The sequence below is a fragment of the Homo sapiens genome, chromosome 19 (assembly GCF_000001405.40).
Source record: "Homo sapiens chromosome 19, GRCh38.p14 Primary Assembly".
NCBI lineage: Eukaryota > Metazoa > Chordata > Mammalia > Primates > Hominidae > Homo > Homo sapiens.
This window is the reverse complement of record NC_000019.10, coordinates 20,025,648-20,040,885: the sequence shown is the minus strand read 5'-3', so window position 1 is coordinate 20,040,885 and position 15,238 is coordinate 20,025,648. Positions and strand designations below refer to the sequence as shown.

The 15,238-nt window shown below is 45.5% G+C and overlaps 1 protein-coding gene, 1 long non-coding RNA gene and 1 pseudogene across 5 annotated transcripts in view, besides 1 other annotated feature; 2 read left to right on the top strand and 1 right to left on the bottom strand.

Annotated features, from left to right (window-relative positions):
• Positions 1,035-1,611: an enhancer, noted in NCBI's record as "H3K27ac hESC enhancer chr19:20150084-20150660 (GRCh37/hg19 assembly coordinates)". NCBI's record gives its function as "activates a minimal SCP1, AML or CMV promoter by ChIP-STARR-seq in naive H9 embryonic stem cells {active_cell/tissue: H9 hESC(naive)}" and the evidence as "EXISTENCE:reporter gene assay evidence [ECO:0000049][PMID:30033119]".
• Positions 1,381-15,238, top strand: part of ZNF682 (zinc finger protein 682) — a 44,375-nt gene continuing 30,517 nt past the window's right edge. The window contains exons 1-2 of one of the 4 annotated variants that reach the window (XM_047439655.1): positions 11,871-13,655; positions 13,749-13,811. In XM_047439655.1, coding sequence (XP_047295611.1) covers positions 13,797-13,811 — 15 coding nt within the window. In that variant the 5' untranslated portion in view covers positions 11,871-13,655; positions 13,749-13,796. Of the gene's footprint in view, positions 1,544-1,630; positions 1,714-11,870; positions 13,812-15,238 lie in introns of those variants that run through there. The other 3 variants (NM_033196.3, NM_001077349.1, XR_007067033.1) reach the window with 3 other exon arrangements.
• Positions 6,509-7,081, bottom strand: LOC101928960 (BCL2/adenovirus E1B 19 kDa protein-interacting protein 3-like; annotated as a pseudogene).
• Positions 7,255-10,169, top strand: LOC105372308 (uncharacterized). The gene is made up of 2 exons (XR_001754062.2): positions 7,255-8,044; positions 9,773-10,169. It is a non-coding gene; the product is annotated as an uncharacterized LOC105372308 (long non-coding RNA).

Sequence of the window (15,238 nt, the reverse complement as noted above, 5' to 3'; positions counted from 1 at the left end):
TCCAACTCCAAGGATTCTAATTTAATTGGTCTGTTGCAACTTGGGCTTCAGGGATTTTAAGTTTACATCCTGCCCCGCCCCTCCAGTCATTCTCCACACCCCCCGCCGCCACCACCACCCTCCCCACGAAGTCTCACTCTGCAATGGCGCGATCTCGACTCACTGCAACCTCCGCCTCCCACGTTCAAGCCATTCTCCTGCCTCAGCCTCCCGAGTAGCTGGGATTACAGGCGTGTGCCACCATGCCCGGCTAATTTTTGTATTTTTAGTAGAGATGGGGGTTTCACCATGTTGGCCAGGCTGGTCTCGAACTCCTGACCTCAGGTGATACGCCCGTCTCGGCCTCCCAAAATGCTGAGATTATAGGCGTGAACCACCGCTCCCAACCCCGCAGGTGATTTTTATTTGCCAGGGGTAAGAAGCACTGGATCTGATGAAGAATGCATTAGCTGTGAGTGATTTTCATGTATGCTGCCGGGATTTGCCCCATGGCAACTCTGGAGACTGGGGTTTTAGAAAACATCCTTGCCCTGTTAAAAATTAGAAGATGACTTCAAGACATACTCAGCTGCTTGGCTAAATTGCAGAAAGAGAAAATGCCTTCTTCAGAGATCTTTTTTTTTTTAAACTTGGTTTCACTCTGTCACCCCGGCTGTAGTGCAATGGTGTGATCGTGGCTCACTGCAGTCTTGGTCTCCCAGGGTCAAGTGATCCTCCCGCCTCAGCCTTCTGAGTAGCTAGGACTGCAGGCGTGCACCACCAGACTTGGCTAAATTTTTAATTATTTTTTGTAGAGATGGGATCATCGCTATGTTGCCCGGGCTGGTCTTAAAACTCCTGGCCTCAAGTGATGCTCCCGCCTCAGCCTCCCTAGTTGCTAGAACTACAGGCACAGGCTACCACGCCTGGTTTCTTTTTTAAAATGTGGCTACTAGAAAATGTAAAATTCATATGTGCTTCACAGTTTATTTCTTAGAGAATTGCCTCCCTTGCGACATCTTAGGCTGCCTGCTCAAAAGACTGGAGGCTAGGAAAATGATGAAATCTGAGATTTTAAAATAATTGTCATTATATTGTTTCCATTTGTGAATAACATATGTATACTATTCACAAATAAAGATAACTTTATATACAAAGTTAAATGCAAATGTTCCCCAGGAAGGGCCAGTTTCCAATTCAGGAAGGAAGCGCGCCAGAAAAGGGTTCAGGAAAAACCTGTAACTCTTGCCTTATTCAACACATTCTCAGATCACGCCTCCTGTCACTCATGACCTGAGGGGGCGGGGCATGGAACTGTATCCAATCATGGGCGCTAGAGTGGGAACTGTCCAATCAGGTGCGCAGCCAAGGTAGAGGGGGCGGTGTCCTGGAGCTGGCGGGGCCTTTGTCTCGCTCCAGCCAGAGCTCAGGGTCCATCTTCATTGCTTAGTATCCTCTGCTCTAGTAGTTCCCGGTGACTGTCGCAGCCTCTGTTGCCCTCTGACTTGCAGATGCTGTGAGATCCAGAGCTAAGACTCCACGACATCCCGGAAGCCGAAAAATGGTGAGTGTGCCAGGCCGCGCATCCCGAGGTGGGGGCAGGGCTGGTTGAAACCGGCCGGAACCGGCAGTGACGGGACTGGGGCCTCCCAGCTGTCAGCTCCGGAGTCTGCGGACTGGAGTCCCCGGCAGGCACAGCTCGGCCGTCGATCACCTCCGGGCACAGGATGCGAGGTGGGCCAGCAGCCGGGACCCTGGGCGGGCATCCCGTTCCGTTCTCCCGCTTCCCGCCCGGAGCCCACCCTGGGAAGAGCCGCGCGCGTTCTTGCGTCTGCCCCGACTGCGGGGACAATGGAAGCGTCCTCAGGGCAGAGTCCAGACCCCGTGTGTGGTTTGTGCGTGGGAAGTGCTGTGATCCCGGGGGTCCTCAGTCTTTTCCTTCTCCTGTTTAAAAACTATGGGAGTCACCTTTAAAATGTTGAAAACTTATTGAAGTTAACAGTGATTTATGCTCAGAGAGCACCCAGCCACGGTTTGTGGTTGGGGGTCCAGCCGAAGAGCTTGAAGGAAAGTTTTTTATAAAGTGCAGGATGAAGCAAACCGAATTCAGTAACTGACTCGTTCCAGTTATGTAGTCATCTTATTTAGACTATTCAGGTTGTCATTGCCTGGTTATGTAATCAGAAGTTAATTGAAGGTTTGTGGTTGCTTAAATCTGAAAAATCTGAATTTTGTTTCCCCCTAAGGTAGCAATTTACAAGAAATGTATTTGCCTTTGATTTTTTTTTTTTTTAATGTAGGAACTCAGGGTACTAGAGCCACCTCAGTCTAACTGCCTGCTATTTATTTAACACTCCACAGAAGTGGTTTTCTCTTGGATTTTCCAAATGTGTGACAAACAGAATCTCAAAGCTACCACTCTGTTGCCCCAGCCTAACTCTGACTTGCAGTTGAATTTTAAATTTTCAGTTCTTTCCTGACATTCTTCAACACCAACTTCCCCTCTCTAATTCACAACATTATCAACTATTAGTCCTTTTTTGTACATTTCAGACACAGTATTTTGATTGATCATTATTTCAAAGAGCAGCGGATGGCACTTTTTAGAAAAAGAATTGTTTTTCATTTGCAAACATTTTACAGGAGATGAAAGCAGAGAATAATCCCAACACTCCACCATGAAAAAAAAAAAGACCAAAAAACAAAAACCTTTGTGCCAATCTCCCTTTAATCTTTCCTAGGCACAGACACCTTATCAGAATGTTTTTGGGTTGAGGTTCCACTTTGGAAACTTCACAGGGCAATGCATCCTCAGCCACCCTGTGTTATTTTCCTGGTTTTGAGTTTCAGAACTGTCTGGGGATGACATGAGATGCCCACAGTGGCTGTGTCTCCTGAGGTGTCTAGTGAATATCAGCCCCTGGGCCATCTCCTCTCAGGGGCAACCCTGCCAGGTATGGGAATGTGGCCTCTCTGTGGAGTGGTTGGTGCATTGTGCCTGGGAGAAATCAGGTATACCTTTCCTCTGAAAGCAAATCCATTAGGACATTAAGATTTTCTTCCCCAACTCCCAGTTTCCATTTCTTAGAGATACAGTGCTGGCCAGGCAATTTGGATGCTAGTATTGAGGAGAAAATTTTCTCAGATTGGTGAAGAGAGAAAAAAAATATCCCCAAGGACAAGGAACACCCAACCCAGTGAGGCAGTGCAAAAACCTGCAAAGCAAAATGCATCTAAGGGACACAGTGGGGCACAGCACAGTGGCTCTTGGTAGAATGGTTATTGTCCACTTCAGTGAGCAGGATGGGGCGGGAAAATGTCCCAAATGATAGAATGGCTTGACTTGACATCTGAGTCAGATATGTCTGTGTTCCAATCAGTATTGCCGCTTCCTGAGTTTGTCACCTTGGAAAGATTTCTTTGCTTATTTTAACTTCAGTTTTTAATTAAGTGTAAATTATCAGTAGAGCTTGAAAGGTAGTCTGTACTGGCAACCTGGTTTTTTCACCAACCCAGGCTTCTGTGCCACCTGATTATAGTCTCATCTGCCTGCATGGACACAGGAAGAAGTCAGAGCATAGCCTCTCCTGGGACACAATCTATAGCATGAACCAGTCCTTCCGTAACCCTGCACTGTCCCACCCATGGCTTCTAGATAGCAACTTTCCCTCGTTTGCCTTTTAGTTCCCCCACAAACCCTTTTTTTATGTGCACACAGTGTGCCCAACGCCACCCCTCAGTTGTCAGATGTCCAGTAGTTCAAGACCATGGGCCTAGACCTACCTTTTGCAGAAGCAAATACAAATTAGAAATAAGGGGCTTCATTCCCCCACTTGAAAATGAGGGAAGACATTTTGTTCTTTTGCCTTTTCCTGAAGGATAGAATTTAGAAAACTTTTATTATTGATTGATTGATTTTTTTGAGACAGAGTCTCACTCTTTCACTTAGGCTAGAGTACAATGGCATGATCATAGCTCACTATAACCTTGAACTCTTGGGCTTAAGCAGTCTTGCTACCTCAGCCTCCCAGTTACCTAGGACTATAGGCATGCACCAACTTGCCTAGCTAATTTTTTTTTTTTTTTTTTTTTCTTTTTTTTTTATAGAGACAGCATCTCACCATGTTCCCGGAACTGGTGTCGAACACCTGGCCTTAAGAGATCCTCCTGCCTTGGCCTTCCAAAATGCTGGGATTACAGGCATGAGCCACCATGCCCGGCCTAGAAAACTTTTATATGTACCTTTTTTCTCTGCTTCTTCAAAATATATGTAAATCTTTTTTTTTTTTTTTTTTTTTTTGAGATGGAGTTTCACTCTTGTTGTCCAGGCTGGAGTGCAGTGGCACAATCTCGGCTCACTGTAACCTCTGCCTCCTGGGTTCAAGCAATTCTCCTGCCTCAGCCTCCCGAGTAGCTGGGTTTACAGGTGCCCGTCACCACACCTGGCTAATTTTTTGTATTTTTAGTAGAGACAGGGTTCCACCATGTTGGCCAGGCTGGTCCTGAACTCCTGACCTCAGGTGATCTGCCCACTTCACTCCAGCCTGGGCAATAGGAGCAAAACTTTGTCTCAGAAAACACGAAGGATAGGATTTAATTCAGCAATCCAGAAAGCTAAAGGGTCACAGATACAGAAGGGTATCTCTTCAGTATCTGGAGAGATAAAAACGATAGGTGTTTTCAATAGAAAACTGCTGCTCCAAGGTAATTACTAATATGTGCAGGCTGAAGGGCTTATGCTGCGATAGCAAGACCAGCTCAGAGTACGCTCTGTACCTTGGTTTCTATTTATATTTTAAGAACAGTTGGCATAGTTATATGTACTCTTGTGTAGACAAACTGCATCCATTTAAATTAAAGAGTATTTTTTCGGCTGGGTGCAGTGGTTCACACCTGTAATCCCAGCACTTTGGGAGGCTGAGGTGGGAGGATCACCTGAGGTCAGGAGTTCAAGACCAGCCTGGCCAACATAGTGAGACTTCGTTTCTACTAAAAATACAAAAATTAGTTGGGTGTGGTGGTGAACGCCTGTAATCCCTGCTACTTGGTAGGCTGAGGCAGGAGAATTGCCTGAACCTGGGAGGCAGAGGTTGCAGTGAGCCAGGATCACACTACTGCACTCCAGCCTGGGCAAGAGAGTGAGACTCCATCTCAAAAAAAAACAAACAAACAGTATTTTGTACAATAGTGAATATAACAGCACAATATTTATTTTGGACAAACTGCTTTAAAATAATGATTTTGATATTCTGTATTCTTTTGAAATATAAATTATTTTAACTGAATTAATATTACAGATAATTTTCTAATACTACATACGTTATGACTAATATGTTAAAATTGTTTATCCTAAGATATTTATATCTTATATCAAAAGAAAATAGGCCAGGTGCGGTGGCTCACACCTGTAATCCCAGGAATTTAGGAGGCTGAGGTGGGTGGATCACGAGGTCAGGAGTTCGAGACCAGCCTGGCCACCATGGTGAAACCATGTGTCTACTAAAAATACAAAAATTTGCTTGGCGTGGTGGTGGGCGCCTGTAATCTCAGCTACTCGGGAGCCTGAGGCAGGAGAATTGCTTGAAACAGGAAGACAGAGGTTGCAGTAAGCCAAGATCATGCCACTGCACTCCAGCCGTGGCAACAAGAGCAAAACTCCGTCTCAAAAAAAGGAAAAAATATAGTAACAAATTGTTACAATAGATATTAACCCCACCTCTGTCACATCAATTAATATGCTTATTAATTAATCCAACAGGTATGATTATAGGTCAGCATGATTTTAGTGTCTATATGTATATATGTATTTGAGACAGAATTTCAGCCTGTTGCTTAGGGTGGAGTGCAGTGGCATGATCTCCACTCATTGCAACCTGTGCCTCCCAGGTTCAAGCGATATTCTCATACCTCAGCCTCCTGAGTAGCTGGGATTACAGGCACGCACCAACATGCCCGGCTGGTTTTTGGATTTTAGTAGAGACGGGGTTTCGCCATGCTGGCCAGGCTGGTCTCGAACTTTGGACCTGAGGCTATCTGCCCGCCTCAGCCTCCCAAAGTGCTTGGATTACAGGCATGAGCCACCGGGCCTGACCTTATTTTTTCTTTTCTTTCTTTTTTCTTTTTTTTTTTTTTGAGATGGAGTTTTGCTCTTGTTGCCCCAGACTGGAGTGCAATGGCGCAATCTTGGCTCACCGCAACCTCTGCCTCCCAGGTTCAAGTGATTCTCCTGCCTCAGCTTCCTGAGTAGCTAGGATTACAGGCATGCGCCACCAAGCCCGGCTAATTTTTTTAGTAGAGAGGTGGTTTCACCATGTTGGTCAGGCTGGTCTCGAACTCCCAACCTCAGGTGATCCGTCCGCCTCGGTCTCTTAAAGTGTTGGGATTACAGGCGTGAGTCACCGCGCCTGGCCCTATTTTTTCATTTTACTAACTTAGGCATGCGGCATTTACAGAACTAATAAATGCAACGGATGCAGTCACCCACCCACGGATATAATAGCTCTTCAGTTAGCTATGCCGCAAGCTCAGATATAATTCCAATATGTGAACAACGTTGGTTTCCTATTCCTCATCAAAAGATGCTGGTGGATGTTGTTAGATGGCTTCCAATATAAATCCCTAGTCCAATGGCCAGCAGATGAGACAGCAGCAAAGATGGAAGAAAAACCTCTAGAAATTCTGGATAGAATATGTATCTGTTCTTCAGAATGCGTGTGTTTCTCATGCTGAGAGTAGCTGTGCACTTTGGTTCTTTAAAGAGAAACATTGGGGGGAATTTTTTCTTGCTCACTTAACCAATCCCATATCTAATCTGAGTATTCCTTCAATATGCTTTCAATTTCTTTCTTTCTGTCAATATAATCTTCCACAGACTAATAACTGTTTTTCTCTCCAATGCCTTGGGTGTTTCAGAAGCTCTGTTGGTTCCTTGTGTCTGTGAGTGAGGTGGGCTGTCACGGTGACAACTCGTGGAGCAACTCCATCCAGACTTCTTGCTGGGCATCCAGTAGTACTTTTTCCATGTCATCGTTGTCAGTAGAAACTGAGGCTGGAGGCCGGGCGTGGTGGCTCATGCCTGTAATCCCAGCACTTTGGGAGGCCAAGGCAGGAGGATCACTTGAGGTCAGGAGTTTGAGACTAGTCTGACCAACATGGCAAAACCCTGTCTCTACTAAAAATACATAAAATTAGCCAGGCGTGGTGATGGACGCCTGTAGTCCCAGCTACTCGAGAGGCTGAGGGAGGAGAATCACTTGAACCTGGGAGGCGGAGGTTGCAGTGAGCCGAGATCACGTCACTGCACTTTAGCCTGGGTGACAGAGCGAGACTCCATCTCAAAAAGAAGAGAACCCCAGAAACTTAGGCTGGAACACCACTTTCATTTCCATTATTGTGAAAATACAATTCTAACCAGGAGTGCTCCAGGCCCTCCTCCTGCAGCCCAGGGCTCTGCTCTGTGGCATGGTGCTGGAGCGCAGATGCAGCAGTGAGGGTCTGTGTGGGCTGCAGGCTGTAGGCTAAGCTTCATGGGCAGAAGCACCATGGCCCAGTACTCTGAGTCAGGAACCATTGATTTAATATATAAATAGCCAAGAACATAGATCCCTCTTCCACAGTTTCTTTTTTGTTTTTTTGAGACGGAGTCTCCCTCTGTCACCCAGGCTGGAGTGCAGTGGTGTGATCTCGGCTCACCGCAACCTCCACCTCCCAGGTTCAAGTGATTCTCCTGCCTCTGCCTCAGCCTCCCAAGTAGCTGAGATTACAGGTGCCCACCACAACGCCTGGCTAATTTTTTGTATTTTTAGTAAAGGCGGGGTTTCACCACGTTGGCCAGGCTTGTCTCGAACTCCTGATCTCAGGTGATCTGCCCACCTCGGCCTCCCAAAGTGCTGGGATTACAGTAGTGAGCCACCGCACCTGGCACCACAGTTTCTACAGAGAAGTAAAACCCTACCTTCAGCAAGTACCTGAATTTGGCTCCAAGTTGCAAAACTACCTCCTGTCATGAAGATGTGGGAAGTTTATCTTTCATAGAATATAATCAACTGACCTCCCCAATTCCCAGGTGGGTTTAGGATAAACTATCTACGACAAGTGAGTGCTGTCACGTGGTCTTCTTGAGGACTAATTATGACAACCTTCTTTCTATCTTTGCAATCTCTTAGCAAATTGCCTGCAATTAATGTCACATTCTGGCTTAATTGTGTAATCATATGGTTTTTGCTTTGTGTTCTGCCATTGTGGAGAGTTTTTCTGGGGTTGGAGATGATTGTGCTTTTAATTACATTTTTGAAAACACTGTCTGAAATGACCAGGTATGATATAAACATGTAAGGTACCCATCAGACTTCACCCTAGAGGGTCTTTCCCTCTTGGGCTTCAAGTCACAACCCACAATTGTGCAAACCCCAAATTGCAGGCAAAATGGTCTCTCTGCCTATTTGTGATCTATAGTCCCTTGTAGAGCAGTCAGATCAGATTTCTACAAAAATAACCTTACAGGGCAGCAACCAACCATTCCACCTCTTTCAATGTCCCTGGCATCTTCAAATCTGAAATGAATTCAGAGACAAACCCTGTCAGGGTTACACATATGCATTGATTAGACCTAAGAATTTAAAATGTTCTTTTCCTCCTCCTGTACAAATGCCTGAGAATGTGCAAAGGGCACCTGCTACTTTCCCATACCTCTGCAACCTAAATCTGAAACCCCCAAATTTGAATCCAGGCCCTGGGATTTGAGAAAGTAAAAGAACTTTTATCTGAGGGATGCAAGTTCTGTTAGTTATCAGGCTCAGAGAGACATTAAAATGAATCCAGAATTATGTCCTACTTCTCCTTTGAGCAATGTATTCACCTCTTGAAACTGCTTGTTACTGCCACACATAGCTATAAATTAATCTAATAATGCCACACAGGACACTATAGCCCACACCTTCTAGCTTAACCCTGTATGGCCAATCACTAATCAATGTTATTCCTGTAAACTAATGAGAATCCTTGACAAAGAACTTTTTATCGGCCCACTTTTCTATTCCCCTTTTTTTAGCCATTCTCTTGCCTCAGCCTCCCGAGTAGCTGGGACTACAGGCACCCGCCACCTCGCCTGGCTAATTTTTTGTATTTTTAGTAGAGATGGGGTTTCACTGTATTAGCCAGGATGGTCTTGATCTCCTGACCTCGTGATCCGCCCACCTCGGCCTCCCACAGTGCTGGGATTACAGGGGTGAGCCACCGTGCCCGGCCGACATATCATTTATAATGTGTTAGAGCAGTCTCCATGACTGGATCTCTCCTCTGGTTTTGCGCAGCATGCTATAACACCCAATAATGCACAGCCAGGTTGATGTCACTAGAATCTGCATATAAGCACTGGCTTCTGGGACTCATGAGACAGGACCTGACTTTGGATTGAGAATGTACAGAAAGCCCATAGGAAACATTTTCTGCATCGTGACAGGTCAACATCGACATTTTAGAGCCCCACCCTTCAAAGTGTGGTCCTTGAAAATTTCCAGATCTTGTCCTCTGACCTGCTGCAGTTGTGTGAGAGGCTCTTGGTGTAAATAGAATCTGATGGCAGAATCACCCCAGCAGTGGGGGGTCCAGGCCACAAAATATCTACAGCCATGACCATAACAACCACACCTACCTGTAAGCTGTGATACTGGAATAAAATATTCCTGTCATTCCTCTTACCCAAGCTAACTGATTAAGGACAGGTGATATCACATATGGGTTTAGGATCTGAAGCTCTACCAGGGAAGTTCTATTGTCTATTCTGTTCCCACAGAATCAGTCTCAGTGTTTCCTGTTTGGATTGCCATGAGGACATCAACCCAGAGTGACTGTAGACCCTCTTCCCAGCACCTGAGAGTCTTTGAGACATTTGAGGTTGTTGTGTGCAGACTGGGGTGAGGCTGACAAGAGGGTCTAATTCTGCTACCATCTAAGAGGGAGGGGAATAAGTCATTCAGTGTTTCTTCTCTTTCTCACAAAAATAATCTCTTTGGTTGGTTCCTAGATGGGAGTTGTTCCAGTTTTCACTTGGGTGAAAAAAAAGGAGAGCTGGAGACTGATCAACCAATTACTTTCATTTCATATGGCGATTAGAAAAACAGATGAGGCAATCATAATCTCTGCAATCCAGGAACTGTGTCTGTGGCAAATGAATAAATGGCTGAATTTCACACCATGGAGTCAGTACAAAAAAGGGACGTGTGCAGGGGATTTAGGGCCACTTTCCTTATGTTGGGAACTCTGATGTCACCATCTGAAGGGCCACTCATGAACAGAAGAGTTGTTATTATAGTTATTTTTTCTTTTCTATTTTTTGAGGTGGAGTCTCGCTCTGTTGCCCAGGTTGCAATGCAGTGGTGCAATCTTGGCTCACTGCAACCTTCGCCTACCGGGTTCTAGTGATTTTCTCCTGTCTCAGCCTCCTGAGTAGCTGGGATTACAGGCGTGCACCACCACGCCCGGCTAATTTCTGTGTTTTTAGTAGATATGGGATTTCACCATATTGGCCAGGCTGGTCTCGAACTCCTGACCTTAGGTGATCCACCCACCTCGGTCTTCCAAAGTACTGGGATTACAGGCATGAGCCACCGCGCCCAGCCCTATAGTTATTATTTCTATTGCTTTTACCTTGTGAAGACTAAATATTTAGCTTCTAATATACATGTCCTAGAAAACACTATGCATTTTGGTTAAATTCCTTGTTACTGTATGTTATAAAATAGACAGGGAATTGGGTGAAATAGATTAAAATCACACAAACCTGGGGAGTCAAGTTTCTCTTGGGCAGGCTTAGAAAACACAGAATTGGAAATACCCCAGTGACATGGAGATCAGAATTCTACCTAGGGCCCTCTCCCTGTCCCAGCCTTACCCACGTTTCACCTCTTCTGAGGCCTCATCCAGGTCCGGCTCCACCTTGGAATCTCCATACAGAGTTGATTAAAGGAGATCAGAGTTTGGCTCCTGCTGCCTCTCCAGAGTGGTTGTTCACAATTCTTCCAAACCCAAAAGCAGATAAATGGAAGCAAATAACTAAATATTTTTGGTCTTTAATTTTTTTTTTTAATTAAAACCACTGTTTCTAGAGGCATACCACCTAGCAAACCATTTTCTATTCCTGCATATCCAGCAGTTGCTCCAGGAATCACAAGAAAGTAAATATAAACCCAATGCTGAGAAATCCCTTTGAACTACACTTAATTTTCCCGTTCTGTATTTCATTCTTGTGTCTATCTTCAGCTTTTATTTCAAGCTTTTTTATTTTTTTTAATTTTTTTTTTTTTTTTGAGACAGGGTCTCACTCTGTCACCCAGGCTGGAGTGCAGTGGTATGATTTCTGCTCGCTGCAACCTCTGCCTCCCAAGTTCAAGCAGTTCTCCCACCTCAGCCTCCCAAGTAGCTGGGGCTACAAGTGTGTGCCACCACACCCAGCTAATTTTTGTATTTTTAGTAGAGATGGGGTTTCACGATGTTGGCCAGGCTGGTCTCAAACTCCTGACCTCAGGTGATCCACCTGCCTTGGCTTCCCAAAGTGCTGGAATTACAGGCATGAGCCACCGTGCCTGGCCTATTCCATGCATTTAAAAAAAAAAGAAAACAAAAGAAAGGCTGGGTGCGGTGACTCACGTCTGTAATCCCAGCACTTTGGGAGGCCGGGGCGCAGGCAGATCAACTGAGGTCAGGAGTTCGAGACCAGCCTGGCCAACATGGCGAAACCCCATCTCTACCAAAAATAGAAAAATTAGCTGGCCGTGGTGGCAGGCACCTATAATCCCAGTGACTCAGGAGGCTGAGGCAGGAGAATTGCTTGAACTGGGGAGGTGGAAATTGCAGTGAGCCAAGATCGTGCCACTGCCCTCCAGCCTGGGCAACACAGCAAGACTCTATCTCCAAAAAAAAAAAAAAAATCAGTGATAGAACAAGAAGAAATTTAAATGCTGGGCTTTTCATATAAATCCAGGGAATTATGGGACAGTTAGTACCCACCTCCCAGGGTGTTATGAGGATAAATTCACATTATGTCATCTTCCCAGCACAATGCTCTATAGTGTGCTTCTGAGCACACAGCGCATGCTCCATAAACATCGCATTAATGCATGTGCGCGTGTTGTTTTCCAAATGCAGACTTACTCAGACATGAGCTGCCTCTGGAAACTTTAAAGGACCAACAGAGAACGCCATGTTTTAGAATAGTGATTGGTGGTTTTTATTTTGGACCAAAAGCATTTGTGTTCTAAGAAGAGTGTAGGTATAAGGGACTGTGTGCTGTGGCGCTTTGTCTAGTTGAGTGCTGTTATAAGTGATCTAGGGCAAGCAGGGTCAGCATTAGCTGTGAATGAAGCCAATCCGTGGACTCCTTTCAAGCCTGCAGAATTGACTGGGCACGGTGACTCACACCTGTAATCCCAGCACTTTGGGAGGCTGAGAAGGGCGGATCACCTGAGGTCAGGAGTTCAAGACCAGCCTAGCCAATATCGTGAAAGGCCATCTCTACTAAAAACACAAAAATTAGCCACCCGGGCATGGTGGCATGTGACTGTAGTCTCAGCTACTTGGGAGGCTGAGGCAGGAGAATCACTTGAGCCTGGGAGGCAAAGATTGCAGTGAGCCGAGATCACGCCAGTGCACTCCAGCCTGGGCGACAGAGTAAGACTCTGTCTCAAACAAACAAACCTGCAGAATCAAATTAGTCTGGGGCTTGAAATACCAGATGATTTCTCCGAATATTAAAGTTTAAGAGGCAATTCTTAGCTAAGTGATTGTCAGCTCATCACATTCTAGTTAGGATTAAATGGCCAGTTTGAAGAAATACCCTTACCTGTGTCCTCTCGACGGATTATGTTGGCCTGGGTGGAAGCATCCATATTGTTTTAATTAAGTGTCCCATGTAATTGTAAGATAAAGCCAGAGGCAATCATGAGGGCTCCCAGACATAAGTGAGAATTGAGTTCAGCCTTTTTGTGTGTGTGAGACAGTCTCACTCCGTCACCCAGGCCCCAGGCTGGAGTGCAGTGGCGCGATCTTGGCTCACTGCAACCTCTGTCTCCTGGGCTCAAGTGATTCTCCTGACTCAGCCTCCCCAGGCTTTGTTTTTTTTTTTTGTTTTTGTTTTTCTTTTTTGTTTTTTTAGATGGAGTTTCGCTCTTGTTGCCCAGGCTGGAGTGCAATGGTGCGATCTCGGCTCACCACAACCTCTGCCTCCTGGGTTCAAGTGATTCTCCTGCCTCAGCCTCCCAAGTAGCTGGGATTACAGGCATGCGCCACCACACTCGGCTAATTTTGTATTTTTAGTAGAGACAAGGTTTCTCCATGTTGGTCAGCCTGGTCACAAACTCCCGATCTCAGATGATCTGCCTGCCTTGGCCTCCCAGAGTGTTGGGATTACAGGCATGAGCCATAGCGCCTAGCCCCCAGGCTTTGTTTTAAAGAGAGGTCATGGGGCCTGCTGTGCTTGGTTTTCATGGGAGCAGGGGAGTGGGGCCCTATGGGCCCTTTGCTGCAGCAGAAATTGCTGCCATCTCTGGCATGGAAGGGCATCTAAAGGCAGGAAACTGGAGACTCACATTTTAGTCTTTAGGTAGAAGCTCACTGTTCCTGAAATTCTCCTGTGACAATGACAAAGGACAAGCAAGTGTGGCCTTTTCTGTGCCTTTAAGGTACATCTGCCTGTGGGTGCGGTGGTAGCAGGTGAAGGGGTTTTGCTGATGCTTTAAAAGGCGTATGCTCAAGTTACAGATGTGATTTTCCAGATAATATCACCTGAGAAGGAATCCCAAAGGGAAGAGCAAGAGGAAGAAATGGCTGGTTCTCAGGTGAATGTGTCCCAGCTCAGGGGTGATGTTCTCTTTTCGTTCTTGAATGTCTTGGCTTTAGAACTTACAAACTTTTACTTCTCTACTTCTGATGTTCCTACCTAACCAGTTTGTTTTAGATACTTTTTTTCCTCCTTTTCTTCTTATAAATATTACTTCTTACTATAGTAGTTAAGAGGCGCTGAAAAATACTTCTCTTTTATATATCAGAGCCTTCTCCTTTATTCTTTGTATCCAGGCTTCTTACATACCATGACCAGTTCTCACCATCGAGTGTATGACCTGTAAGAATAAAAATGTTCTCTTTGTGACTGGGCACAGTGGCTCATGCCTGTAATCCCAGGACTTTGGGAGGCTGAGGCAGGAGGATCGCTTGAGGCCAGGAGTTTGAGACCAGCCAGAGCCACCTGGCAAAACCCTGTATCTACTAAAAACCCAAAAAATTAGCCAGGTGTGGTGGCACGTGCCTGTGGTCCAGCTACTTGGAAGGCTGAGGCAGAATCACCTGAACCCAGGAGGCGAGGTTGCAGTGAGCCGGGATCATGCCACTCACTGCACTCCAGCCTGGGCGATAGAGTGAGACTGTCTCAAAAATAAATAAATAAATAAAGTTCTCTTTGTGTCACATCAATGTGGAAAGGTGTAGATACCTAAGATCTCTATTAGGGATGGTATAGGGTCCTCAGATATTAGTGAAGAGGGGAATGTGTATTGTTTAGGTTCCATCTGGATGTTCCATCAGCTCTATGCAGAAACAGGATGTTTTTTTTTTGAGACGGAGCCTCGCTCTGTCGCCCAGGCTGGAGTGCAGTGGCGCGATCTCGGCTCACTGCAAGCTCCACCTCCTGGGTTCACGCCATTCTCCTGCCTCAGCCTCCCGAGTAGCTGGGACTACAGGCGCCCACCACCACACCTGGCTAATTTTTTGTATTTTTCAGTAGAGATGGGATTTCACCATGTTAGCCAGGATGGTCTCGATCTCCTGACCTTGTGATCCACCCGCCTCAGCCTCCCAAAGTGCTGGGATTACAGGCGTGAGCCACAGCACCTGGCCAGAAACAGGATTTTAAAAATGCACATTTAAAGAGGATGTCACTAATTGCCCAGAATAACTCAGAATATTCTGGAAAAGAGAATAGTTAGATAAGACTTGCTCTTTCAAATGCTGAGGAAAGGCTACTTAAATACATTATTAGAGGTTATAAAACCTGGGAGATATCTGTAGCTTGAACTTTGCATAAAGATGTTTCTTTATGCTTAGATTCAGGTTATAATTTACTTTTTGTTGCCAATAATATCATAGCTCTGATGATTGTCTGCCCATGTGTGTTGACACTGTACATCAATTTGTTCTATTGTAGTTCATGTTAATTTCTTTTTTTTTTTTTCTTTTTTTTTGAGATGGAGTCTCGCACTGTTGCACAGGT